Raw genomic sequence first — 27,874 nt, 5'->3', positions numbered from 1 at the left:
AAAAAACTCGCAAGTTATATATCTGAAAAAGAATTGTATTCAGAATATATAAATAAATCTCAAAACTCAATAATAAGAAAACAATTAAACAAAAAAAGCAAAAGGTTTGAAAAGATGCCTCACTAAAGACTATACTTGGATGAAAAATAGGTCTATGAAAAGATGCTCAACACCATTAGTCATTGTGGAAATACAAATTAAAACCACAAGGAGATACCACTATTAGAATGACCAGAAAAACAAAAGAAAACAAAACCCAGTCAACCAAAACCAAAACCAAACTAACCCACTGACAATACCAATTGCTGGTGAGGTTGCTGAGCAACTGGAATTTCTCATACACTGTTGGTGGGAACACAAAATAGTACAATCACTTTGGAAAACAGTTTGGCAGTTCTTTATAAGATGCTAAACATTCATTTACAACAAAGCCCAGTAATTCCACTCCTAGAGAAACACTCACAAGAAAGCTACATTCACTTAAAACCTGTACGTGAACATTAATAGTGGCTTTATTCATAATTGCCCCAAACAGAAAATAAACCAAATGTCCTTCAACTCGTAATTGGATTAGCAAACTATGGTACAGCTGTATGACAGCACATTAAACAGCAGCAAAAAGGAACAAACTGTTGGTACACATGACAATTTGGATAGTATCTCAAGTACATTCTGCTAAGTAAAAGAAACCAGATTCAAAATACTGTGATTCCATTTATATGACATTCAGGAAAAGGTAAAATTAGAGGAACAGAAAAAAAATCAGTAGTTACTAGGGGTTGAGAATAGAGAGAGGGACTGATTAAAAAGGGAGCCTGAAGGATTTCTGGGGGTGATGGAAGTGCTTTGCATTTTGATTATGGTGGTGATCACACTGCTGTATGCATTTGTCTGAATCACAGACCTGTCCTAGACACAAAAGTGAATTTTACCATATGTAAATTTTAAAAAGTGAAAAAATGGGTTAGCCATTGCTCCCAACTCTCCAATGATTTTTATCAAAAATTTAAAGAGGCTCTACACTAAATTGCTGCAATGATTCATAGGAAGGCACATATTTTGGACGTTAGCCTGGTGGGTAATAAATACCAGTTTAATTTTTCTTAAAAAGGTATTTGATTTGGGTAAACAGGCTTAGGGCTAAAACAAATTGTAAAAAAAGTATTTGAGTATCAACTAGGAGTTAGGTACTGTTATAAGTGAGAAAGCACAGATAAGAGTAGAACCTGGATTTTTTTTCCCCCTTTATGGTATTAGAACTAGAGGGGGTCAGCTGATTCCAAGACATTTCTCAGTAGTAATACTTGGAATGATATAATCAATGATATTGATGTCCAAACAAGTACAACTAACTTCGTGGCTTTTCTGTCCCTTTCTTCTGTGGTACTGAATGACTTCTAGTTGTTTTCTAATCAGCTCAATAGGTTAACTATTTGAGACTGAATAAAATAAAGCAGCCCATGGCAGGTCAAAGACTCTCTACCACTGCCAGAAAGGAAACGCAACTGTTCTATGCTCTTTATGCAGGTTCGCTGCAGAAAGATACATGTTTATTTCATTAAAAGCTATTTTATTACCTGGAGGAAACCAAACATCAAGTTTAGCTCTCTAACACGAATCATATTTTATTCAAATGCAGATGTACTTTTCAACTACAGCAGCCATTTGATTAACTTGTCCAATGACTAAACTCATGACCCTCTATATTAAAAGTGGTGACCTTTATGCTGAAGAATCTAACCCAGAGCTAAGTTATCCATTAAAATGCAACTTGGGAGTATATTACTCTTCATGAAAATGTAACCACCTCTTTTCCTGCTAGTCGAGGTCTCCAGAGAAACACAGAGTGAATAAAAGACATATGTAACTTCTTTTATTTGGCCACTTAGGAGGGGGTCATCATCCACGTGCATAGCTCTGATTCCCAGATGACAGACAAAAATGACAGAACACTGCAGTGGCTGAAGAGTACTTCAGAAACATTTCAGTTGGAGGAAAGGCACTTCATTCCCTCATGAGAGACGGAAAGCCTGTAAGCTTGAGGATGTTATTTGCCTGCATCTTAGAGCTATGCTGAGATGAAGGATGAAAGAGGAACACAGAGGGGTCTTGGTTGATAAGAGAGGAAGAAATGGGGATATTTTTGCTTCTGAGATAAAAAAGCAAAGGAACTTTGGATTGATGTATGGTTTTGAGAAATTACAAGCACTTGGAGAAAGCATAGTCCCAAATGGGCAACATTTGTATAAAAAGACCCTGCTATTATAGTAAAAGTCAGTCATTTTTCCCTACATGAGGAAGCAGAAAGAAATGAATTCCTTAAGGAGAAGGGAAGATATAAAACATCAGTCCTCTTAGTGTGAAACATTTTAACTAGTTTATAATCACACTATCTACAATAATAAGCTGTTCTAAAATATTAATGTTCTCTTCTGGCAAACTTCAGGTTGGTTGTACGGTATAATCACCTTAGATACTTTTAAAACAATTCCATATCCAGGGATTCTAATTCAACTGATCAGGACTGTTTCTCTTGTGATTCTATTGAGCAGCCTGGGCTGGAAACCACCACTTTAGGGGATACGGCTTAGTTTAGGAGATTCAGCAGAGATCTGTACCATACATACATATTTAAAAGTGCGCCACAATTCAACAAATGACAGAAAAATCTGAAGCTAAAGACATGGACAGAGAATGAGTTTCTGCATTATAAGATAATTTTTGGATTCATTACATTACCTTTACATAGTGGCTACTTCATTTATAATTCCCTAACTTGATGCAAGGCTGGGACTGATTGGGGATAGGTATTTTAGCAACCAAATTCCACCTACGCAAGTGAAAAAGAAGCTACAGCTCTGAGATGATAATATGAACCAAGTGAAAACTATGATTTGATTTATAAATATTCAGTTTTCGGAACACAAATAAGTGGAAAAAGTGAGGTTGATCTGTAATATCCATATCCTCATGTTTATACGTAAGTGACAATTTCTCTAACTTATGGCTTTACGGTCAAATCCCTTGCATAGACATAGTAAAACCACATCAGTTCCTCTTTATAAAGCTCTGTTTAAGAGACACGGCTATCATAAGGTTCTTACTTCCCATAACACTGTATTGTTTTCCCGTTTTTAGTGGCTGTTCCTTTTAAACAAATCTTTGGAGCACTGAAAGGCTTTATTCATTTTCTTTGAGTTTTTCTATATATCTGAAATCTGAAAGTAAGCCCAAAATGTGAATTTGCAAGCAGCCTTGATCAAAATTCATATTTAGGTCCAAATTAACTAGTTTGATGGACCTAAGCTTATAAATATTTGCATATTTTTATGTGGGTAGCATGAAAAACCCCTCTACTCAATGGGCTAGTGAAAAATAGCAGGTAGGAGACTAAAAGGGACTTTTAAAATGAGCCACTCCAAAGGCTGCTATTAAAGTTATTTAAACATGTACATGAAATAACAATACGGAGCTTTTGCTTAACTGGGGCACAAATGCATAATCTAGAAGTCTAGACATGCAGCAAATGACATGGGTCTCATGGCCCGAGGCTTTATTTTAAAAATTGAGCTCCTTTCTGCTGGCATGGGGGTAGCAGAAATTTTAATACAAGCATTATTATTATTTTATGAAAGGAAGAAATAACACAAATTAACTATAACGGAGAAATATTCTTTGTAATTCAGCTGTCAACTTCAGCATACATAAATTTTATTTTGATAATTATGCTCACAACCTTAGTACTTCTGACCAAAATCTACTATAGAACTTCCAATGGCAAGAATCACGCCAGGCACCGTGGCTCATGCCTTAATACTAGCACTTTGGGAGGCCAAGGTGGGAGGACTGCTTGAGCCCAGAAGTTTGAAACCAGCCTGGGCAACATAGGGAGACCCCCTTCTCTAAACAAACAAACAAACAAAGAAATGGTGATGTTAAAAATTTTTTTTATGAAGTTGAAAACACAATTTAGTTAAGACTGATTATTCTAACACTTTAAAAAATATGACACTAAATGTAGGCCTCATATTTCAAACAAGATAAAGAAGCATGCACTAAGCAACTAATATTTGTTTCTTGGCAAAAATCATTTGCTTTTCATGGCATCAGAGACAAGACGGGAAAATGTCACAATGATTATGGTCTGAAACAATGGTTCTGAAATCTCGCTGTGCATTAGAATCAGACGGAGAGCTTGCTAAAATACAGATCACTGGGCTCCACCCCTAGGGTTTCTGATTCAGTAGGCCTGGGGTTGGGTCTAGGAAGTTTCATGTCTTGCAAGTTCCCAGGTAATGCTGATGCTGCTGTTCCACACAACATACGTTAAGGGCTACTTATCTAAAATAATCCTTTGGCAATTAACTAGTCGGTCAAGATAAAAACAAATAATTACAGGCGCAAGCAAGCCCAAGATAAAGTAAAACTATTTAGTTAATTCTTATGTTGAATATTCTGGAGAGTCTTATGTTGAATATCCTGAAGCATTAAGTAAAAAAACTCTCACTTTGACCCTGTCAGGTACTGACTGCCAATATGTCTGACCCTAAACAATAAAATCCATACATGATTTTATTTAGACCTGGAAATTGCTGGAAAATAATTGTAATTTCATAAATATAGCCAGTAGAATATACACATCCCAAAGTACTAGACTAAACTTGAATTTTTCTAAACATTAAATAAAACCACAAGGGCAAGAGTTCTCAATTTGTTCTTTTTTCAAAACCACAGGCAAGCTAATTCTACAGATTGTGGAATGTACAATAGGCCATTCTCACAAAATAAACCCAAGGGGTGAATTATATCTCTTCAAACTAGGTGGTGTCTTAAGTCAACGAAGGTAAGTCTATGACTACCATGCTGAAAAACAGATTTTGTGACATGTATGGACCTCACAGAAACAGAAACATGTAACAATAAATTTAAGTAAGGGTATAAAAAATGGGTGTGTTTGTGTGGCATCTATAAAGGCTTCCTAAATAAAATTTGTTGGAGCTCGACTATAACCAAAAAATAGTTACCCTGTGGGACCCTGTTTCCCAGAGCTGCATTCTTCTGACCAGAAATATGAATGCCATGCTGCTGTTTAGGGTCTTCAAAGCTGGCTCATTCCTCACTCAGATATTATGGGCTGTCTTCTCCAAGAGATTCCTGGAAACGAATAATTTCTCACTGATAGAAGAAAATAGAAACCATTAACTAACTACCAGTCTTAAAGCTGTAAGTTATGATAACAGTGAGTTTTCTTATCTGTGATGACAAAAAATTTTGACCTCTCTCCCCAGCAGTACAGAGGAGTTCCTTTTAAGTTTTTGCTATACTGTATTTGTAAATTCTTGCCTATGAATTATATGAGTAATAAGTAGTATTTACTTTTTACATGTGCAGCTTAGGTCAGTATGTTAAACAGATTCTATTCTATGAATTCTATGCAGCACACTTCATGATATATGACTCTTTAGCAATAATGTTCTTGGTTTGTTATAAACAACATAATGGGAAAATAAAGAGTTGTTTGTATTTTGCAATTTCATTTTAAAGACTGAACTGAACTAAAAATGTCTAGGAACATGCCAGTATTTTCAGAGGCTCATGTAGCACTTTTTGGAAGATGGGGAGAGAATATCATAAGATACTGGAACAGTTTTTCCTCAGATAGCCTAAAGTCTAAATATGCCATACCTCCTACTCTAAAACAGCAATTGAAGGCAATGTTATCTTGGGAAGACATCTGACAGTGTCTGGAGACATTTTTAATTGTCACAACTCGGAGGGTGCTACTGGCATGGTAGAGGCCAAGGATGCTGCTAAACATCCTACAATGCACAGGACAGCCCTCTGCAACTAAGACCCAGAACAGAAGGAGAAACCTGGCTCTAAAACAACTAAGAAAAGACATTGATAATAAAAATAATAAAAAGATGTGATGTATCATTGTAACATTTACTATTTACCTGTATTGATGGATATATTTTAAAAAATCCCTTCTTAGAGAACTTTTCATGACTGTTACTCTCATAAAATCACACTATACTGGCATGCAGACTTCAAGGAGGCAACAATTAGGGTGCAGAGGCCAAACTACACAATGTTATTCCCAACCAAAGAATCTTCATGAGTCGTTAATCCCTGAGCTATCCACAGAGATATCTTTCTACATAAGTATACATGGAAGATAAGGGTTGTCAAGTATAATCAGATTCCTCTAAGAGACTAGCATTGACAGACAAGATTAAAATTTGCTTAAGAGTATGACAGTGGGCTTTCAAAGAATCCTGCTGGGTTTCCAAAAGCATAAACTGACCATCAGTGTATCTGCTGGATAATAATAAACCATGGTATATAATTTGTTTTACATGAAAGGTGATTTGTTCTCCATTTTTATTGCTGACAAAAAAAGAGATAAAAGATGATTTATCTCTTGAACATGTGAAGATTAGAAGGACTCTTGGGTGGCTTCGGTGAAGTTCCATCTTGAGAGAGGATTATGAACCATGGAGGTGGTCTGAAGTTCTGCAATTCTTTTCAAAAATTAAGGCTCATCAAATAAGGGGGCTAGAAATATCAGCAAGACTAATGGATATAACATTGGCTGTTGAGAGTGTCTAAAATAACACCTTCATTACACAAGATGCTCAACAGATAGTTCTTGAATAAATAATGACATAAATACATGACTCCTTTTTATCTTCTGCAAACACAGACCTAAAACCAATTAATACTCTCAACTCATCCTTTAGGACAGAACCATGGGCTGGTTTCAAAGGGATTGCTTTGGTAACCATGGCAGGAAAAGTGTACACATCCATCCTAAAATAGGACTATGCAAGAAAAGGCAGTCCTTGCCTTATTTGGTTAATAACTGACTGGTGAAACATTCCATATCTATTCTCACAAGCCTTCCAGTTCCAATGCAAATAAAGAATTAGCTGATATGACCAAGAAATGGCATCGATTCTAATCATGTGACAAACCCACATTAAGTCTTTCTGCCATCCCCACTGCCTCTTGCTATCGGGAGAACAGAACAAGGCATCACTCCTTCATACCTAACCAGTTTCAGCCTTTCTGAGACTGGCAGGAGAAAATCTAAGCTGGATTTCTCAAAATGTGGTCCACAGATCACCTATATCTGCATTGCCCCAGGTACTAAATTCAGATCCTGGGCCCCATCTCTTACTATAAAATTGAAATTGTCTAGGGTACTCCCCAAAATCTACATTTTAACATGTTCCCTGGGTGATTGTTATGCTCACTAAAGTCTGAGAAACCCTCTGTAAAGGGATAGTTTGTTCAGGGAGAGTCAGAACCCTAGAGTTATTAAATTTTTTTTTCCCCCTCTTAGCTAGGTTATGAGAGCTTTAAGAAAAATGATGGCCGGGTGCAGTGGTTCATGCTTGTAATCCCAATACTTTGGGAGGCCAAGGCAGGTGGATGGTTGAGCTCAGGAGTTTGAGACCAGCCTGGGCAATATGGCGAGATCCCCGTCTCTATTAAAAAAATAGAAATTTTTAATTTTTTATTAATTAAAGAAAAGAAAAATAGCTTATTTCAGCAGAGGGATGGAGTAAAAGTTAAAAGAGGGTGCAGAAGACCCAGTGTTGACACCGTTAATTTTGTGAAGCATTTAATTTCTCATATGGTGAATTCTGAGTTGCTTGATCTAGCCACTCCAAGCCACTCTGTTTCTCAATATGCCATGAAAACCTTTGTTAGAGATGACATTACCCATATATGCATTATTTAAACTTTAATAAAAAGAAAAAATCCCAACATCTATGTTTATTTTATGTTAGTTATTTTTTAAATAATAGAGATATCAAATCTTGATTTTTTTTTTTAGGTTATCATGAGAGTAATGAGGCATAGAAATTGTAAAACGGTAGTAACTCCTCAAATCTGGGATTTGCTGTGGGATTAATTTTTGTTCTAAAGTGTGAATACAGGTACCTAATGTTTGGGGCATTCATATAATCTCACATAAAATAATGGAACCTCACAATGAATTGAAAATCAGAAGGATTTGAAAGAGGATTCTGATTCCACACCCTTACAAAGATTTTTAATAATCAAAAGTGACACTGACTGTATCTATTCAAAAATAAAAAATCTACTTTTTTGCTGACATGATAAAATAACTCTTTTGATTTTTCATGAACTATGAAGTAAACTCTACCACAAAATAATAACATAAACATCACTTCAGTGCAACCAAGGACATAAAGAAGTTCAAATGCAATATTCGTACTATCAGTCAACAAATATTTACTAAGCAACTATATGGAAATTAAAGATGGTTACAAATTCTTTGCCATCCATCCTGTCAAGAAGTGAAGGCTATTTCCTCTACCTTGAATCTAGGCTGGCTTTTTGAATACTTCGACCAACAGAAAGCATCGATAGTAACTCTTTACCACTTTGGGGTGTAAACAAGCCTCAAAATGGCCTGGCGACTCTCACCTTTGCATTCTCGTAAGCCAGTCACCATGCTGTAAAGACTGTAAAAGACTGCTAACGCTGAGAGGACTGGGGAGAGAGGCCTGGATTATGAGGGGTCATTTTGTACATTTCAGCCTCAGCTGAATGCTATTGCAGAGGTCTTGCCCACCTCATTTGGAAAAGAGAGCCATCTAGTTGAACCTAGTCCAAGCTTGTCCAACGTGGGCCACATGTGGCCCAGGACAGCTTTGAATGTGGCCCAACACAAATTAGTGAACTTTCTTAAAATATTATGAGATTTTTTGCAATCTTTTTTTCCGTTTTTTTTGATATGGAGTCCCACTCTGTCGCTCAGGCTGGAGTGCAGTGGTGTGATCTTGGCTCACTGCAGCCTCCACCTCCCAGGTTCAAGGGATTTTCCGGCCTTAGCCTCCCGAGTAGCTTGGATTACAGGCACCCGCCATGATGCTCGGCTAATTTTTGTATTTTTAGTAGAGATGGGGTTTCGCCGTGTTGGCTAGGCTGGTCTTGAACTCCTGACTTCAAGTGATCTGCCTGCCTCGGCCTCCCAAAGTGCTGGGATTACAGGCCAGCGAGCCACCATGCCAGGCCAATTTTTTTTTTCTTTACCTCATCAGCTATCGCTAGTGTTGGTGTATTTTACGTGTGGCCCAAGACAATTCTTGCAATGTGGCCCAGGGAAGCCAAAGATTGGACACCCTTGACCTAGTCAATAAAAAATAAATTATTGCTGTTTTAAACGACTACATTTTGGAGTGGTTTGCTATGTAGCAATAGAGAATTAAGACAACCATTATGTTTTATATTACATATGTGTTATGTCATCGTTCTACATGTAAGAACTGTAACAGAAAAAAAAATTAGGCAAAGTTCTACGTTTTCTCTGGATTTATCAATTATTGGCTAAAATGCAAGGGTGCATTTCTAGAGGGTGTTTTATTTCAATAACTACTGTTACTTTCCCTCCTATATACTTCAACACTTTGAAAAGTTAATTTACTTTTCTTTAGTTGTTCTGAGGAATGGGAGCAAATATATTAGCACCAATATGATGTTTGTATACTAAAATACTGACATGAAATTTTTATCAAACCAGCATATATTATCTTTTTTTTTTTTAAAGCAAGCCCAATTCTAACTTATAAATAGGATAACTCAATATTGTTAGTACAATTAATAATGTTTTAGCTGGCTGTTAAACGACTGACATTCCATTTTAGAGTCTGAGTAAGTGAAACTGGGTGTCCTAAATTTCTATTTTAATAATTCCTTATTATTCTTATTTTTTTTGAGACAGGGTCTTATTCTGTCACCCAGGTTGGAGTGTAGTGATGCGAACACAGCTTACTATAGCCTCTACCTCCTGGGCTCAAGTGATCCTCCTGTCTCAGCCTCCCAGTAGCGGGACCACAGACATGCACAGCCATGCTTGGCTAATTTTTTTATTTCTTGTAGAGACAGGGTCTTGCCATGTTGCCCAGGCTGGTCTTGAACTACTAGGCTCAATTCATTGTCCCACCTCACTGTGATTATAGGTGTGAGCCACTGGGCAAAGCCAATTCCTTATTATTTTTACTGAATTTATCTCATTCTGTACTGTTTTACTATGTTAATTCTTGTGGGGATGAAGGCTATCTTGCAATTCCTCTACCTGGAATGTTACTCTTCTCCCCTCTCCATTTCCTTAAATCCTCCTTATCTTAAATACACACTGCCTTGCATTAACTTTTTGTGCTATAAAATCCAGCCATGGCTTAATAGCTAACCACCTTTTTTGTTTAACTACTCTTATTTTTAAACTGGTTGCTGTCCTGAAACACTCTCAGTGAAGTACAAACATACTTGCTTCTCAGATTGTAAGAGAAAGAAATGACTTTGGCTGTTGCCTGAGTCTACTTCTTAAGAACACCATGCATCACTGATTGGGAGCTCACAGGATAACGGCAGATAGAGAGTTTCTGCATGATGGTGTGTTCCCATTTGCTTGGAACCTACGAGCAACATGTGAAAGTATGCAGTTCCTAAGTTCTTTGCATGTCAAGTACAAGCTATCCAAGCATCCACTCTTCTTTCAAAGGACGCTAAATGCAAAACACAGCTGTCTGTGACCTTGGGAGACCTAACCGGAATCTGCAAACAAGCTTATGTAAGCGTACCCTGGCCAGCCTTGTTCCGAAAGCCCTCTCTAATTAAATGAGAGTTTTGATTTCTTATGTGGAACAGTAAAGGGTCTTCTGGGAAGAGACATCTCTTGCAGGAACTGTAATTTGAAAAGTAATTTTTGTCTCTATTGCATCCTTAACTACACAGGACATAATAGTGGGCAAGAAATGATAGCAGAGCTGTAAATACTGAGTAAGTCTGACTAATTCCCAGGCTGCACAAAAGATCTTATTAAACAACTTTATTAATGACCTGGAAATCTGAGAAGACGTTACATTAATAAGTTCCTCACATGGCACTAAAGGTGGAGATGGTAGAAGAAACAGAGGTGAAGTCAAACAATATTCATGGATCCCTGGAGATCAGAAAAATGAACAGTAAAGTACACAGTGAGTTCAGTCTGGCAAAATACAATTAAGTACAAGTATCCAGGAAAAAATAACTCAGAAGACTGACATTCAGTGGGGATGAAACCTCGAAAGCATGTCAAAAGCAACCAGATAGATACTGTAACCCACAGATTAGATAGGATTTTGCAATATAACAGAAATAGCAAAGCATAAAGTAGATGTGAAGCTGTCCATCAGAGGGGCTCAGCACATGCTGACAATGATAAAAGAAAAAGAAGGGTGTTGGGCGGGTGGTGAGTAAAAACAGCTCAGTTATTAAGTCCAAAAGTGTAAGCACCTGGACTTTGGCTTTAAACATTCTTTCAGAAAGATGAAAAGCATCTGAGAGGCCTTTAGAGAGGGAAAAATATATTTACAGAGATAAGCATATGATGAGAGATTAAAGGAATGAAACAGACAAGCCTCCACTGAGCAGTGACAAAAAGAGGTACTTAACTCTGATCAAAATTATTGTTTACATTTTTAAGGGTTTTCCGGGCAAGATAACTAACAAATATATTTCTTAATTATACATATGGCAGATGAAACAGTGAGTTTCCAGGAAGCATCAGCCCTGCCCAAAGCCATGTAGTTGAAAGAAGACTCAGAATCACAGAATTTTAGGCAGGAAATGATCTTAGAAATTACATAGTTTTGTGTCTTCAAAGTGAGGTCTGAGGGCCTATTGCCTGGAGAGCTTATCAGAAATGAAGATTTCTAGGCTCCAACTCAGCTCTCCTGAATCGAATCCTAATACCCCAGAAGGATTAGCTCAAGAAGCTTGTAGAGTTTAAGATAAGTTTATAGATAAGAAAAGTCAAGCTCAGAGATAAATTGCCCCAGGTCAGTCATCAATAGGTCCTGGTTTCAGGTCCAACGATGTTACTATCACTGTGGGATGAAATTCTCCCCAAATCTATAAATTGCCTTTATAATTAGTTATTACCATGTTGTGTAATTTTTCCGAGAATTTATATTATAGATGTTGCTTCATTTAATTCTTGTGTAATAAGGAAAAGAAGATAAAAGAAAACAGAGTCTGCCATCAGTGGGTATAGGAGACAGTTAAAAAAAAAAAAAGAAAAAGAAAAGAGAAGACAAAGATTGGGATATGAAGTAAAAAGCAAAAACCCGAAGCTTCGAATAAAGCTTTGAAGGTAAGAGAACTTATAAAAATGCAAGAGATGTTTAAAGAACAAATTATGGTCTTCCTAACCTCTAAGCTTCCTAAAATAAAAGTGGAATCTCTGCTCGTTATCATAAGCCCTTCTCTCCTGTAGGGTAAAGGACACGAGGATGAGAACCAGACTGTGGGTTGTCTCTGTATCCATTTCTGTGGCAGCAACTAGCATGCTCTAGATTGTTCTCTTGTGTCATTAGAAGTCCATTATTTGAAAGGTAATCATATTGCATTGATATATCTTCTTTTAGCAAAAGCTGACCAGGAAGTGTTTCAGGTTGATCATTTCTGGTTTTGACGATCTCTATCTAATGTAATCCTTGTAGGGAGAATCTGGGTTTGACCCCAGGATAAACCAAAACAAAGGGAACTAACATAGACCAATAAAATATATCCTAAAAAAATATAAGCAATTAAAATAGCTTTATACAAACAAAGGTTTATAAAAAATCATTATTATAAAAGAAAATCAGGCCGGGCATGTTGGCTCATGCCTGTAATCCCAGCACTTTGGGAGGATAAGGCTGGTGGATCACTTGAGGTCAGGAGTTCGAGACCAGCCTGGCCAACACGGCGAAACCCTGTCTCTATTAAAAAGACAAAAATTAGCCAGGAGTGGTGGTGCGCACCTGTAATCCAAGCTACTCTGGAAGCTGAGGTAAGAGAATCGCTTGAACCCAGTAGGCAGAGGTTGCAGTGAGCCAAGATCGTGCCATTGTACTCTAGCCTGGACAACAGAGTGAGACTTCGTCTCAAAAAAAAAAAAAAAAAAAAAAAAAAAAAAAAAAAATCAAATGTTGCACATGCATAGAAAATAAGATTAAAAGAAACATTGGGAACCAAACTTCAACAGAAAGATGTATTTCTCAAGCATAGTTTTTACTAGTTTTTAGATAAATAAGAAAGCTTATTTTATTATAATTTTGCCAAACATACTGGCTATAGAATAAATTTGCAAAATGATTTCTGGAACATGATAAGAGATCCACAGAGAAAAATGTAGCAGAAAGATGGGTATTCAAGTTACATTTTAGAGTAGAAAAGGCCTCTGGAAAACAGATTTCAAAGAACAAGTTAATACAAGGGAAGAAAGCCTCTGATTTTTAATAAAGCCACAACATTGACATCTTGTCTGTTCCCAGAGTGTAGGGATTCAGCAACGGAAACCTTTGCCTTGCATTTTGGAGCTGGCCTGGGAAAGCAGCGAAGAGCTCTCCACAGTCTGTGCCTGGAGGCCCAGGGGGGCTGTCAGATTTAGAGCTCTCGGACTCCACTGCAGGATAAACAGCTTGGGATTCTTCTTTAATGACAACAGCGTATCAGCTCTTTTTGAGGTTACAGCATACATAAACAAGATCTGCCTCATATTTTCCAGTTGTGGAGGAGGGAAGGGAAAAAAAAGGCCCCCACAAACCTTTTCCCGCAGTTAACAGTAGAAGACGACTTGCTTTTACTTGAATGCAAGACTGAAAAAAGGGAAGGAGAACCATGGCGTGCAAAATGGCCACACCGAAAGGAAACAGGAAAACCATTACTTCCTCTGTGAAAACTTCAGTGGGCAATCAAAGGGAAGAAAGGTAATGAATGTTGAATTCTGGTGTTTTAAAAGGAAAGGGACATAAGCTTAAAAAGAGTGAGTGGAAAGATTCTTAATAAAGCCCTCCTGGAGACAAGACCCACAGAGGAATCAAACAGGAGATCTTGCCCGGCACACACCCTACTCTGCATTTGAATGTAGAGTGAACACCGGCTGTCATGTTAGAAGACAGACCAGTGGGTTATTTCCTAGGCTTCCTCAAGGTTTATTACTGGCATGAAAAACTTCCTGGCCTTCTTTGAGGAGCTCTAACAAAATGTGCTAAATGAAGATATTTACTCATAGAATTCCCTCTCTTGCATCCTGGACCCAAGTTCCTTATTTCTTTTTGGATTCAAGAAAACCTCAAGATTTCTGTTTTCTTGACCTAAGCCTACAATTCCCTGCAATCTCCTCTACCCCAGTCTTTTCGAGGAAGCTGCAGACAACATTTACTCTATTTGTATTTAAATGTATACTTTCATGACAGGACAGCTTGCTTCATTTTGCTGTCCTGGGCCAGCAAACTTTTTTTGTGAAGGACTTGATAGTAAATATTTCAGCCTCTGTAGGCTATGCAATCTCTATCACAAGAACTCAACTTTTCTGTTGTAGGATGAAAATAGTCAGATAATATATAAATAAATGAGTATGGTGGAGTTCCAATAAAACTTTATTTATAAAAACAGGTGGCAAACCAGATTTGGCCCACAGGCTATAATTTGTGACTCCTGGTACTAGTTCTCCCCTGTTCTATAATATAACAGCATTCTTAAAAAGTGGTGGGCAGATGAAAGAAACATGATGGTTTCCATTTTATTATGAACATACACATAAACTAATTATGCTTTGCCTCTGATATTAATCAAGATATATATTAAGGAAGTGGATGTAAAAAAAAACTTTAAAAAGTGCTCTTCAAACATATGCTATCATCATTATTCTCCCTACCCTGTGACAAAAGCAGCCTCAGTGTTCACTCTTCTGGCGAGGTTTTCAGTGACAAGTTAGAGGAAGTGGGTAGGTAGTTTATGGGGGAAGGAGAGGATTATTTCTTGTATTGAAGTGACTCATGAGTCCCTAGAATTTGAGAACCTCTGTTCTTTAGCAAGCTGTCCCAATTAAATAACTATACATTATCAAGTGAGGTCAGGTGATAAGTCCTCATCACCTCTGTCCAGTAGATAATCTGTATTTCAGCTGTGTTCAAGCAATCCCATATTTCTGGAAGGCAATAAAGATTTCCTAATTGTTGCAAAGAAGACTGTACCAGCTGGGGATTGGAGGTGGGGTGCGATGGTCGGTTGACAGTTAAAATGCTGGAACTGGATGCCAGAGAAGGTGTCACAACTTTACAAAGTAATGCAAGATATTGCACCACTGCAAATGCCTCAGTTGATGAAATCAGTCATAAGAGAAAATCAGGCACCATTAAGGGCCATCTAGAAAGGGGGGAATCCAGGAAGTCAGCCAGAGACAACTCTGTTACTTGAGCTCCAAGCCTGAATCAAGGAGAGCTCTCAGAGCCATGTTCAAGTTTGAGCCCAGATTTGGAAATGCACAGAATGAACTAGGGCAGGAGGCCAATGAGAAAATTATCTCCTATCAATTTTACACACATTCTATTTCTGACTGAATAATCCTTGGGTTTGGGCTTGGGGAGATAGAGCTGAAAGACTTTGGCACATGAGATTTGCAGTGGCCAAGATCAGTAGACCTTTAGTTCACAGCATATTGCCTAGTGTTTGGTCTTAAAATATGGTCCATGTAACGCTCAAGTGGGTGATGAGTCCATCTTTCTCTTCTGGAAGAATGACAGTTTTAAGTCCATCAAAGATGACAGTTTTATCCTAACGTGCTAATTACTTTGCCACGGAGACAACTGGTCCTCTGAACTGCTGCAGATGAGAGAGTTCCCTATATTTCAGTTTCAGTCTGCCGATCAAGACACCAAATTGTAAAAATGTAATTAGCTGATATGGCAAAGTCCCCCTGAAGACACCTGGTTGATGGGTCACTGGTTCACACCTGGGAAATAATGAAGTTGGGTGCCCAATAAGTGTAAGCCTTGAGAGCTGACAGGAAAAGGGACCAGGGCAGGAAGAAGACAATAAGAGGTGAAAAGTCAGGAGGTAGAGCCAGACAAGGATCATTTGGGGAGGAGCAGTCTTGGCCAAGAAAGAGCAATTATGGAGCAGAATAAAAGAAAGACCTAAGAATGGACCAAGGAAGATCTGTCCAGGATAAAGATGTGTCCAGAAGTTGACTTCCAACACTGGCCCGAGGACATCAAAAATGGGGCTTGGCTCTGACTGGAACCAGTAGGACAGAAGACCCACACCCTTGGGCTATTCTGTACTCTGCCCCCCACCCTTCTCCCATGTAAATTTTAGTGAATGCTTTGAAATCCAGGCAGGCTCAGGAAGAGGAAACAGTATCTACTTTGACTGTCTTTCTCAGGTGAAGGCCAGGCTACAGTTAAGATGGGGAGGCTGGCAGTCTCAGCAGGAACTGAGCATTACTGAGGCAGTTCTTCCCCATAGAACAGGAGGTCACAGTCCCTGTCCCTTACTGTCTTCTTGATGTACAAGTTTCTCCATCTTACCCAGCTAGTTATGTAGCAAATTCAGCTCTCAGGAGATGAAGTGAGTAAGAGAAAATCAGGATAAAATCTAATTTCTTTTCTCCACTTCCCCAGCATAAATTGACAGTGATATGTCTGAAATAGGGGGTAATTATAAGAACTTAAAAAGAAAGTTTGGAAATGCTAATCCATCCAAAAAAAAAAAAAAAAAAAAAGAGAGAGTAGCTTCTCTTAAAAACAAACAAACCCCTTTCTTTTAAAAAAAGAACTTGGCTTATTTTTTTCTGTATAACTGAATAGCTTAAAAGCAAAACAAAAAAAGGGCATTACATAGTGAGAATTTAATAAGGAAAATCATACACAAAGAAAACCACAGGCCAGGCGCGGTGACTCATGCCTATAATCCTAGCACTTTGGGAGGTCAAGGCAGGCAGATCGCCTGAAGTCAGGAGTTCGTGAATATCCTGGCCAACATGGTGAGACCCGGTCTCTACTAAAAATACAAAATTAGCCAGGCATGGTGGCACATGCCTTTAATCCCAGCTACTTGGGAGGCTGAGGCAGGAGAACTGCTTGAACCCGGGAGGTGGAGGTTGCAGTGAGCCGAGATTGCGCCACTGCACTCCAGCGTGGGCCAAAAGAGTGAAACTCCGTCTCAAAAAAAGAAAAACAACAACAACAAAAAAACCCCACGATGATATGAAGTCTTTATTCATAGACAACTTTTGATGGGGATGGGCAGTATCTTATTACAACCCCATACATCCACTTAAATTGGCACAAGGTTTATCTGTAAGTTTTATACCTTAAAATGTATTTAAGTTGAAAACTAAACTGATGGGGAGAATAAATCAACATTATTTAATATTCAAGTCCTAAGTAAAACAGAGTACTCAAAATTGGCACTAGTATAAAATTTTCTTTAAAATTTCATTAATTAGAAGAGATCAAACAGTCATTTCAGATATGTCTATTAATTTTACTCTGATCACACTCTTTCAAGTATTATGGTGATCAATTTTCCCCACAAACTTGCAAGGGAGAAACAACTGACCTCCCCACAAAATCTAACTTCAATTAACTATCTAAGGATGATATTCAGTGTTTCTCACATTAAAGGAGTTCAGAATCATGCTCTGGCTGTAACAGGAATGAGCACAGAGCACTTCATGTTAGCTGTTTGGTATCACTGTCCAAATCCACGGCCTCTTTCTGCATACCTTATGACAGTGCCATGTGTACATCCTTAATCAAATACTGTTAATTTTTAACGCATGAGTTTTTTATTTGAGGATCAAACAAGAATTATGTTTGAAATAAAAGGAAAAAAAAGGAGAAAAATATCTTAATGTACCATAGACTTGAATTACCCTATCAAACCAGATTTTCTTTTTTTAAGTTTCCAACAAAATGAACTGGATAGTGTGAGTCCTCTATTTCTCATATCCAGGGTAGATATCAGCTCCCTCTCGTAGGGCAAATATTTCTGCTTATGCCCTCACAAATAGACTGGCCCTCCATTCTGCCACCTCCTCTTACCACAAATTCTGAAATTTCTGGCAGAAAAGAGATCTGTCAAAACAGGTTACTTGTATTTTTATTGGTTCCTCCAGACCATGACGACATTTCCTGATAGGCAATGCCAGGAAACTATTAATGTCTGTGAAAAGCAGTGAAAATTCTTAAGAGTATAAACTGTCTGGTGCCTCAGGAGACTGAAGCCTGAAGGAACCACTAGTTTTTAGACTGTGACATTGATTCCATTGGCTGCCGTATCAGAAATCCAAAACACCACTATCAGAGGAGAAGAAAAAGTGTCTTTCCAAAAAGAAAGGTCTGGAACACACAACCAGCCATCTCCTTTCTCTTAACCACTTGCCTGCTTAGAACAGAGCAGGTGAGCATTATGTGGGCAGCTAATGGCTGGCTCAGTTAAGGCTGTTGCAAAAATTAGGTAATTTATTCAAGAAATTAATAGATCTTTTCCCAAGCAGGAGGGGTAATAATGCCTACAACAGGATGAAGAGAGTGTGGCTTTCCCTACAAATGATAGAAAGAATGCAACTAACATCCATGTGCAGAAATAGAATTGCACCTTTTTAAAGGACCTCAGTGATCCGCTCAGTATGTGAGCACTTGATGCCACTGACCTTAAAGGAGTAGGAGCCTTACAGAAGACATGAAACTAAATGGAACAAAACTAGTTTGAGGCACCAGACTTGTATGAGACTTTCAAGTATATCAACTGATCTATTATGAAGTGCCCAAATCACGTGGGTACTTGCTAACGTTCTATCTGGGTTTGTGGAGCAGAACGGCAGCTCCCTGCACTGTCATGTCCCTCTATTTCACAGTGCCACCTGCTGGGCGAGGGTGAGAGCAAGCTGAACTTTCTTGGGAGTGGTACCTGTGAATTCACAAAATAACCTCTGAAATCACAAACAGAAGAAACATCTTTGAGACCAGCCTGGCCAACATGGTGAAACCCCATTTGTACTAAAAATACAAAAATTAGCTGGGCATGGTGGTGGGCGCCTGTATTCCCAGCTACTTGGGAGGCTGAGGCAGGAAAATCGCTTGAACCTGGGAGATAGAGGTTGCAGTAAGCCGAGATCGTGCAACTGCACTCCAGCCTGGGTAACAGAGCAAGACTCAGTCTCAAAAATACAAAAAACAAAAAAACTATTGTTTCAGAATTTTTCATGTTTTAGAAAAGTAAACTGATACATATACTATGTATTATATGAAACTTGCAGTGGGTTCTTTGGCAGCACCCACTAATCCAACATTAATATTCCTATAGCAAGATGTATGAATATTTACATTAAATTGTTAAAGAATCTAGATAGACTTGTGTGTTAGTTCAGATGATGTTTTGTAGTTAAATGTGTTTACTGAGTCAAAAGATACTATATCTCTCTGACACACACACACACACACACACACACACACACAGAGGCTCTTTCATCATTCATGTTTGTCTCACTATGCATCCATCCAGGTTTATAATAACATGGCAAAATTGCTTTAAAGGCCATTTACACATCTACTAGCAGTGTGCAAGTGCACGTCCTAATTCACTGTATCTTTGTCAATACCAGGAATCACCATTAAAAAATTTGCCAATTTGACATGCAAACAATGGTATTTCTTTGATTAAATGTGCATTTCTCTGATTGCCTTGGAGTTTTACATATGCTCCATGTAATCTTTCACAATTTTAGGAAGTAGTTATTCCTAAATTCCCATCATTAGTGGTGGATCCAGGTTGGCTTGACTTTAAAGCTTATGCTGTGGAGGCACTTAAAAGAGGGTTCTTGGAGGTGCCTTGGGTCTTTGGGACACAGACTAACACAAGGACATGAATGACTTGCCTGGGTGGTAGGGTAGGGAAAGCTTTGATTGCATCTGTTTACTAATATTGTGCTTCTCTACTGTGCTTCCCTATTGTACTATACCCAGAGTCCTCCTGGGTGGCCATTAAAGCCTCTTTGAAATGTCAGCCCACTTCACTCAAGGCTTGGATAGAGACCACAGAGACTATTTCAAAGTAGTGTGGTATATATTTAGCACCTACTCAGTGTGCAGTACACAGTTTTTAAACTAGTTAATCATTAATCAGTTTATTATCAAACCAGTATACTACTGAAAATTGAATCATCTAGATAATCTTGTGAATTCTAGTTGTTCTTCTTTCCCCCTAAGGGCTTATATTTACATTAAATAAACCTGTATCTGAATCAAATCTGCAAAATTCAGATGATTTGACAGCATTTTAGATGAAGTGAATTTTGTCAGATTTCACCTGAAAAACACTCACTATCCTCAATCATGTATACTAATGGAGGAATGGGAATAATTGGAGCCAGGGATTCAACAGACATTCCAAAAGCCTCCACCTTTCTTATATATACAACCTTCACCAGGGTGCTTAGTTACCTGCTTTCCAAGGTATGAGTCTCTAGACTTTCACCTGCACCATAGGTAGGCCAGAATAACTTGTATAAATGCCAAGAAAGCCAAGAAGAGAGAAAAGGTCATGGTAATTCAGTTTGAGTAGGGATACCTTACTTTTGTTCAACTGTGATGCTAAAATTTCCCTATTTAAAACAAACAAACAAACAAACAAACAAACAAACGAGATCAAAAACATAGCCAGGGCTTCAGAGTTGCAAAACTCCTGTATTCTAGGTGACTGGTGCCCTGGGAACATGCATCTCAGTGGCCCTGTGACAGTTAACCTAATCACAGTCCACGCTTGCCCTTCTGAATACAAAGCACACTTGACTGAGGAATCTCACTCAATATGTGTATGGGACACACATTTTTATGTGTCTTCTAAAGAAGACAAATATTCTTTTGAAACAGAATATCCTGTGAGAAAACAAGTAATGACTGGCTATAAATATGGTATGGTCAAGTAAAAATCTTTAAACTGTGACCCAGGATTTCAGGAGTTGGTCTGGTCCCTGGGTGGTTTAAGAAGCAAAGCCACGCCTGTAATCCCAGCACTTTGGGAGGCCGAGGCGGGCGGATCACGAGGTCAGGAGATCGAGACCATCCCGGCTAAAATGGTGAAACCCCGTCTCTACTAAAAATACAAAAAATTAGCCGGGCGTAGTGGCGGGCGCCTGTAGTCCCAGCTACTTGGGAGGCTGAGGCAGGAGAATGGCGTGAACCCGGGAGGCGGAGCTTGCAGTGAGCCGAGATCCCGCCACTGCACTCCAGCCTGGGCGACAGAGCGAGACTCCGTCTCAAAAAAAAAAAAAAAAAAAAAAAAAAAAAAAAGAAGCAAAGCCTTCCACATCATCCTTGCTTTAATCACCACTATCCATGACATCACCATTCAAACCATTTATTTAGTCTGTTTTCAAGATCACCACATGGCAAATGACTGCCTACATAAACAAAACAATCCAGTTCCATAAGAATTCTTTGCAAATCAGACCCCTGGAGAAATAAAAAAGTGTAACTGTCATCTGAAACATACTTTAATTTCTGTAAGAGGTTTTATAAATGAGTGATTGACTCTCATTAAAATAATAAAAAGAAAAGAATCCCACAGAGAGCTGCAGGAGGCATTTCTGAATCTAGCAGACATGGTAAAACAAAATCATTATACTGCTGTCAGCTCTTAGCTATCAGAAATTCCAGTTTGAATTCAGACACTGACAGGTGGGCAAGGGAAAATAGATGGTAATCTCTTAAAGAGTAAAGACCATCTCTCTAAGTTCTCTTATCCCTTATAGCAGTGGCTCTCAAACTTTAATGTGCATTAGAATAATCTGGAAGGGTTTTAAAAGTACATATTGCTGGGTCGCATTCCCAGAGTTTCTGATTCAGAAGGTCCAGTGTGGGGCCTAATACTTTACATATCTGAAAAGTCCCCAGGTGATGCTGTTGATCCAGGAGCCATATTTTGAGCACCACTACCTTACAGCATAGAACACAGTATTAGGTAAATGATACCTGGCCAATAAACATTTATTGATGGAATTGAATTAGTATTGAAATATAACGTTTTATTCTCCACCTTGAATCTGAATATGAACTGAGAGGCTGTTGGACTAATTAGATACAAGAATACAGGTGGTGATGACATAGCAAGGAAAACAAATCAAGTGTCATTTGCACCTCAGCTTTATAATGGTGACAACTATGGGGCACTATGGCAGTGGTAAAATGGTTAAAGTGAATACTTTTTTCATTAGGAAGAAAGAGTAAGATGAAAAGTGGAAGACCAAGAATGAAATCTTAGAAAAAATGGCTTATATGTGGTTGACAATAGTTTCTAGGATGAGGCAGCCACGGGTAGATGGAGGATACAGACAATATGTGGTTCAACAGAACTGGGATTGAATCTAGACTGCCATAATGTTAGCAGGATGATTTTAGGCAAAGTTACTTTATTCCTCTGACTCTCCACTTCCTTACCTGTGAGTGGATAATAATGCCTATCATGAAGGTTAGATTGGCCTGAGAATTGCAATTTAGAGCAATGGTTCTCAAACTATAGCAGGAAAAAGCATTATCTGGATATTCTCGTTAAAACATAGGAGCTAATTAAAACACAGATTGCTGGATGGTACTCCCAGAGATTCAGATTCAGTAAGTCTGGGGTGGGGCCTGGGAACCCGCATTGTTACATCACACTAAGTAGACTGCCCAGTGTATATATTAATTATATATACATTCCATACTGTCTTATAATTCAGGCATTTGGGCTCATAGTTTACAATCTTATGAGACTGACCCTAAAGCAAGAACTGTATCTTGTTCCTCATCTCACACATAATGCCTAGCATAGTGTTTTGTTACACACACATGTGTATGTGTGTGTTTAACATATGTTAGTAGATATACATTGCATAGGCAGCAACAGCAATACATGTTTGTTAGTCCCCCTGCCCCACCACCCCACCCCCAGGCCCCTGGCCAAATCTCTGCCCTCTACCAATCTTTTTACTGTGTGGAAATCCAACTGCTGAATTCCTTAAAAAATTAGCTGTTTGTCAAATTGACTCTCATGTAGTAGACAGCAACACGGAACTTATTAGAATGTTCTTACAGATGAGTATGATTTGCCAACATGCCCTTAATGAATCTGAAGCTAAAGAAAATCAGCAAGTGGAAATAAAAAGTTCCATTAGGTCTGTAAGCATTTTCCAAGCCCTTTTGCCAGTCTCCCTTCCTCTGCTCCAGGGCCTTCTATCCTCTGGAGAGCCAAAGGATCTTAAAGTTCTCTACATATAATAGTGGGTGGCATTTGTCAAAACATAAAGAATGAAAACCAGCTACATCACAAATTAAACCAAGAAGTCACAGCACACTTAATGCAGTAAGGGGCTGGCAAACACGAACACTGTTGCACATTGAATGAGTGGCTTTAATGTTGAAAAAAAAAAAAGGGTGTTGGGGGGGTCAGGATTAGCTGGAAAAAGAGAGGCCGTGGGACTGGGGAGCTGGTGGCAAATTGGTCCTTTAGGATACACAGGAAATCGTCAGAAGTTTTGTCTATTAGTAAGTTAAACTGCAAAGCAGAAGCTCATGAAATGTTTACTTTGATACATCCTCCTCTTTCCCAATCCACCACACGTCCTAAATACATTCCCGGAAGACAACCCCACAATCCTAACAGGAAAGAGCCCTTGAAGGTTTACAGCAGACCTCAAATTCACTTTCAAAATCTCCATTCTTCTGGGTTCTCTGAAACCAGAAGCAACAAAACAAAGAACAAACAAAACAAGAACTCTTCCACCTGCTTCTAGAGGTCCGAGGTTTGAGAGGAGAACTAGAAGCAACTTTTCCAACCTTAAGTGTGAACATTCAGTACTGGCACCAATGGGTTTGGCTGACGGTATGTACTCCTGACAGTCTTGGGGTAAACATGTGGAGAGATTTTAACATTTGATTAGGTTTTTCTCTATACTTCAAGTAACAGAACAAATCACTTTATTTCTTTAATGGAATCCTCTTTACAGAGAGAAGAAATTAGATGCTTTAAAAATTAGTTTTCCTCTGTACCCTGAAGTCCAGAGTTTTGATATGAAATTTTATTCAGGTTGACTTTTTTTCTTGCAACCTTGCAAACTAGAAAAAAACCCAACACACACAACTCACTAACCAGTTAAAAAGTGGTATTTAATGAAAAGTCAAGTCCCCAGATTAAAATAATCCTTAAAATAACTTTTAAAAGACTACCAAAGTCTGGATGAGAAAGTATTCAGATCTGCACATTAGTTGCTAATTATGCAGGGTGGGATGGAAGCTTAGGAGCCTTTAAATTTGATTTATAAAGTTTTTCTTTTTTTTAAAGTAAATTCACCTGGAGAAAATTAAGGCCATCATTCTGAGTTACAGTAAAAAGCTATTCAGATAATAATACTATAATAATAATTACACCAAGAAGAATACAATAATTCAGATATATAGTAATAAGTCATTCAGACCCTTTAATGGTTGGTTGAGATCATTATAATACTGAGTGTGGAACCAATTTTTAAATTTTCTGTTAAAATTTTATTTCTAAACTGAGGAGAAAGGAAAAATGAGAAGCAGTACCAGGGCTTATTTGGGAACAAGTGAGCCAGAGGTGAAGTTCTAGGGTAAGCAGATTTTAAATGGACAACAAGTAGTGGGTGAGGGTACTGATACCTCAGCAGTAAAAACAAAACAAAACAGGGTGCCAACTGATAAAATAATGACAAAGAGGCATATAATATAGTTCAAAGTTCTTCTGACTTTGGCCTCAATGAACTCCAAATGCCATCTTGAGGATGCCTGAGAACTCCTAGAAATTTTGCCTTTATGTGTCAAAAGGAAACATCTATTTCTATCCTCCTTTCGTGCTGAACAAAACGTCTGCTGGCTCAGAGAGATTAAGCAAGCTGCTCAAGGTTATAAGACTAGAACCAGGTCTCATGATGTCCACTTTGTACAAGTAACTGAGAGTTGGGGGACTAGTCATCACAGTAATCCAGGCTGGAGGGGAGGAGGCTTGGGCCAGACAGGTGTAGGGCGAATGCTGAGGAACCAGGACAAAGCTTTTTCACAACGACATCTCAGCCAGGACAAAGAGTTTATTTCTTTAAGCCTAAGATATAGGGGCTTTTAAATTTCTTTTAGGGTTTTGAGATTTTTGAAATTAGTATGCAGCTTAGAATCAATGTTAAAAGACAGGCAGCAGAGGTGATGTAGCTCTAATTGCCCATGCATATGCCAACACACAAATCTCTTGGAAAAAACAGAAGCACTTCAGAGCCTGGAGAGGTTGGTGTGACTGACCCCCGTATGAGGGACTGGCTGCAAGGCATGCATAACACAGAGGACTAATGGAGAAGTAATGAAGTTAAGGCTTAAAGGGCTCAAAATCTTCTGTTAAAAGAAGACAGGATAGACCGGGCGCGGTGGCTCACACCTGTAATCCTAGCACTTTGAGAGGCCGAGACGGGTGGATCGCGAGGTCAGGAGATCGAGACCATTCTGGCTAACACGGTGAAACCTCGTCTCCACTAAAAATACAAAAAAATAGCTGGGCGTGGTGGCGAGCGCCTGTAGTCCCAGCTACTCGGGCAGCTGAGGCAGGAGAATGGCCTGAACCCGGGAGGCGGAGCTTGCAGTGAGCCAAGATCGCGCCACTGCACTCCAGCCTGGGGGACAGAGCAACACTCCGTCTCAAAAAAAAAAAAAAAAAAAAAAAAAAAAAAAAAAAAGAAGAAGACAGGATAACCACAAGTGGATATTTCCAGATCTCTAAGTATTACTAGGGAAGTAATATAGAGTAGTAAAGGCTTTCAATTTGGGAAGATGAAAAAGTTTGTGGAGATGGGTAGTAGTCTTGGTTGCATAACAATGTGAATGTTCTTAATGCTATTAAACTGCACAGTTAGCAATAGTTAAAATGACAGATTTTGTATTATATATATTTTACCACAATAAATGAATAAATGAAAAAAGTGAAGTCTCTGGAATCAGTCTTCTTGGCTTCAAATCTTGCCTCTGATATTTCCTAGCTGTGAGTCCTTGGGTATTGCATTACCTTCTCTGTGCTTCAGTTTTCTCACCTCAGAATGGGAGGATAACGACATGCACCTCGGAGGTAGTGAGGGTTAAATGAATTAAATGAATTCATATGTGTAAAGCACTTAGCACCTAGAATGCAATAAAAGTCCAAGAAATGCTAGTGGTTGTTAATGGTGTTGTAATTATTAGTACTGCTCTTATTATGAGGTAAAGCAATTTTTTAAAAAAGTTCCATCTTCTTTCTCTTCTTCTTTTCATTCTCTGCAGGAGGTATTAATAAGAAATAAAATAGTGAAAATGTGGGTAGGAGGAGAAAGAAAGTAAAACAAGGGCCTGGGAAAATTAACACCCTGGAATAACCAAGAATTGCCTACATCAGCCAAACATTTAAGTTTTAATCTCTAAGCAAAACTGTGCAGGGTCCTCAACCACCTGTGAAGATTTTCGAATGTCATGTGCTTGGCCCCAACTTGGACTCACCCCATCTGGCTGTCCAGAGATAAGGAGCCTCTCATTACACAAACATACTCAGTGTGTACAGAGGGATCACTTGTTTTTGGTATTTTAGGTTTATTTAGAAGAAGTATAGTTTTTAAAATCTAAAAATTGTACCCTTCCTTCCTTTTAAAATTTTTTTTTTTTTTAAATTTTAACAGTGCCTTTCTGCCTTGATTAGAAGTAAAGGTCAACTTCTATGTGCACATCTATTGGCCACTTAAGAGAGAAAGCCCTGCTAATAAATCTTGGGGCAAAGGGTGTGGTTTCTTGTGTGTGGCTATTGCTATGCTGCAACTCATCACCTCGTGCGGTTAATGAGGATGTGGTTCTGCAACTTGCACTTCCATTTCAAAGCCATGCAGGCCATTGATAGATCTGTATGGCTCAAAGAGATGCCCTATTTGTTTTTTATTTTTATTTTTTCGAGACAAGATCTGGCTCTATTGCCCAGGATGGAGTGCAGTGGTGTGTGATCTTGGCTTAGTGCAACCTCCGCCTCCCACGCTCGTTATCCTCCCACCTCAGCTTCCAGAGTAGCTGGGACTACAGGCACACACCCTGTGCCTGGCTAAATCTTGTGTTTTTCTATTTTTTGTGGAGATGGGGTTTCACTATATTGCCCAGGCTGGTCTCAAATTTGTGAGCTCAAGGTATCTGTCTGCTTCAGCCTCCCAAAGTGCTGGGATTACAGGTGTGAGCCACTGCGCCGAGCCCCTATTTGTTTCTTAAGTGGTGGTTTTTACTCAGTGAGAGGTGGTAGCTAAGCATTTTTATGTATTTTTTTTTTCTTGGGTGAAGATGCTATTCTAATGTGCTCTGATTTCATTTTCTTGTTTTCGTTTAGGGCATTGGCATACTTTAAAGCTACCTTGCTAGGCCAAGGAGCTGCCTTCTCTTAGAAGGGCATCAGGAAGATGGTTTTTGGATGTGGTATAAAGGGATGGAAGAGGAGGTGGAGTGGGAAACAGTTAAAGTACTAAGGCAAGAGTCTCCTCATGGTTTCTCCTTGCATGGTACTTCACTCCTTTACCTCCCAGTAGATTTTATTTTCTAAAATAGTAGATCAAAAAAATCTTTAGGGGCTCCTCATGACATAGAAAGTAAATCTCAACCTCTTCAGTCTGGCACCGTAGCCCACCCACCATGTGACACACACCTCCAGTTTCCTCAAATCCCTTTACCATACCCGGCACAGCTGAGGGCACATGTACCTGGAGCCCATCTTCCCCCCGCCCCCATTTCCCCAACCGTCCTCCTCCAGCAGGAAAACTGCCTGTGCCACCCCTAGTCATATGGGTCACATTTTAAATTAATCATTTCATACATATGTGATTTACCTCACTAACGAGGCCAGAACTCCCCAGACTGGAGGCTCATAGGTTGAATCCAGTCCACATGCATGTTTTGTTTGGCCTACATGATGTTTTTGAAGAATATGAATTAGTTGCCAGAGTTTTTTAAAAATCAGGAGATGATACATACACACAGAAATCTGGATT

At 38.8% G+C, this 27,874-nt stretch overlaps 2 protein-coding genes across 5 annotated transcripts in view, besides 4 other annotated features; one reads left to right on the top strand and one right to left on the bottom strand.

Annotated features, from left to right (window-relative positions):
- Positions 1-27,874, bottom strand: part of CMSS1 (cms1 ribosomal small subunit homolog) — a 363,871-nt gene that overhangs the window by 94,072 nt on the left and 241,925 nt on the right. The gene's annotated exons all lie outside the window — the stretch shown is intronic.
- The window catches only part of FILIP1L (filamin A interacting protein 1 like), a 285,691-nt gene that overhangs the window by 26,841 nt on the left and 230,976 nt on the right, over positions 1-27,874 (top strand). The gene's annotated exons all lie outside the window — the stretch shown is intronic.
- Positions 13,114-13,648: an enhancer, noted in NCBI's record as "NANOG-H3K27ac hESC enhancer chr3:99792857-99793391 (GRCh37/hg19 assembly coordinates)". NCBI's record gives its function as "activates a minimal SCP1, AML or CMV promoter by ChIP-STARR-seq in naive H9 embryonic stem cells {active_cell/tissue: H9 hESC(naive)}" and the evidence as "EXISTENCE:reporter gene assay evidence [ECO:0000049][PMID:30033119]".
- Positions 13,649-14,183: an enhancer, noted in NCBI's record as "NANOG-H3K27ac hESC enhancer chr3:99792322-99792856 (GRCh37/hg19 assembly coordinates)". NCBI's record gives its function as "activates a minimal SCP1, AML or CMV promoter by ChIP-STARR-seq in naive H9 embryonic stem cells {active_cell/tissue: H9 hESC(naive)}" and the evidence as "EXISTENCE:reporter gene assay evidence [ECO:0000049][PMID:30033119]".
- Positions 14,725-14,804: a silencer, noted in NCBI's record as "silent region_14568". NCBI's record gives its function as "represses an Ori minimal core promoter by ATAC-STARR-seq in GM12878 lymphoblastoid cells {active_cell/tissue: GM12878}" and the evidence as "EXISTENCE:reporter gene assay evidence [ECO:0000049][PMID:35858748]".
- Positions 18,650-18,729: a silencer, noted in NCBI's record as "silent region_14567". NCBI's record gives its function as "represses an Ori minimal core promoter by ATAC-STARR-seq in GM12878 lymphoblastoid cells {active_cell/tissue: GM12878}" and the evidence as "EXISTENCE:reporter gene assay evidence [ECO:0000049][PMID:35858748]".

Source organism: Homo sapiens, chromosome 3 (assembly GCF_000001405.40).
Source record: "Homo sapiens chromosome 3, GRCh38.p14 Primary Assembly".
NCBI classification, from domain to species: Eukaryota; Metazoa; Chordata; class Mammalia; order Primates; family Hominidae; genus Homo; species Homo sapiens.
The sequence above is the reverse complement of the archived record's forward strand: the minus strand, read 5'-3'. Positions and strand labels throughout refer to the sequence as shown.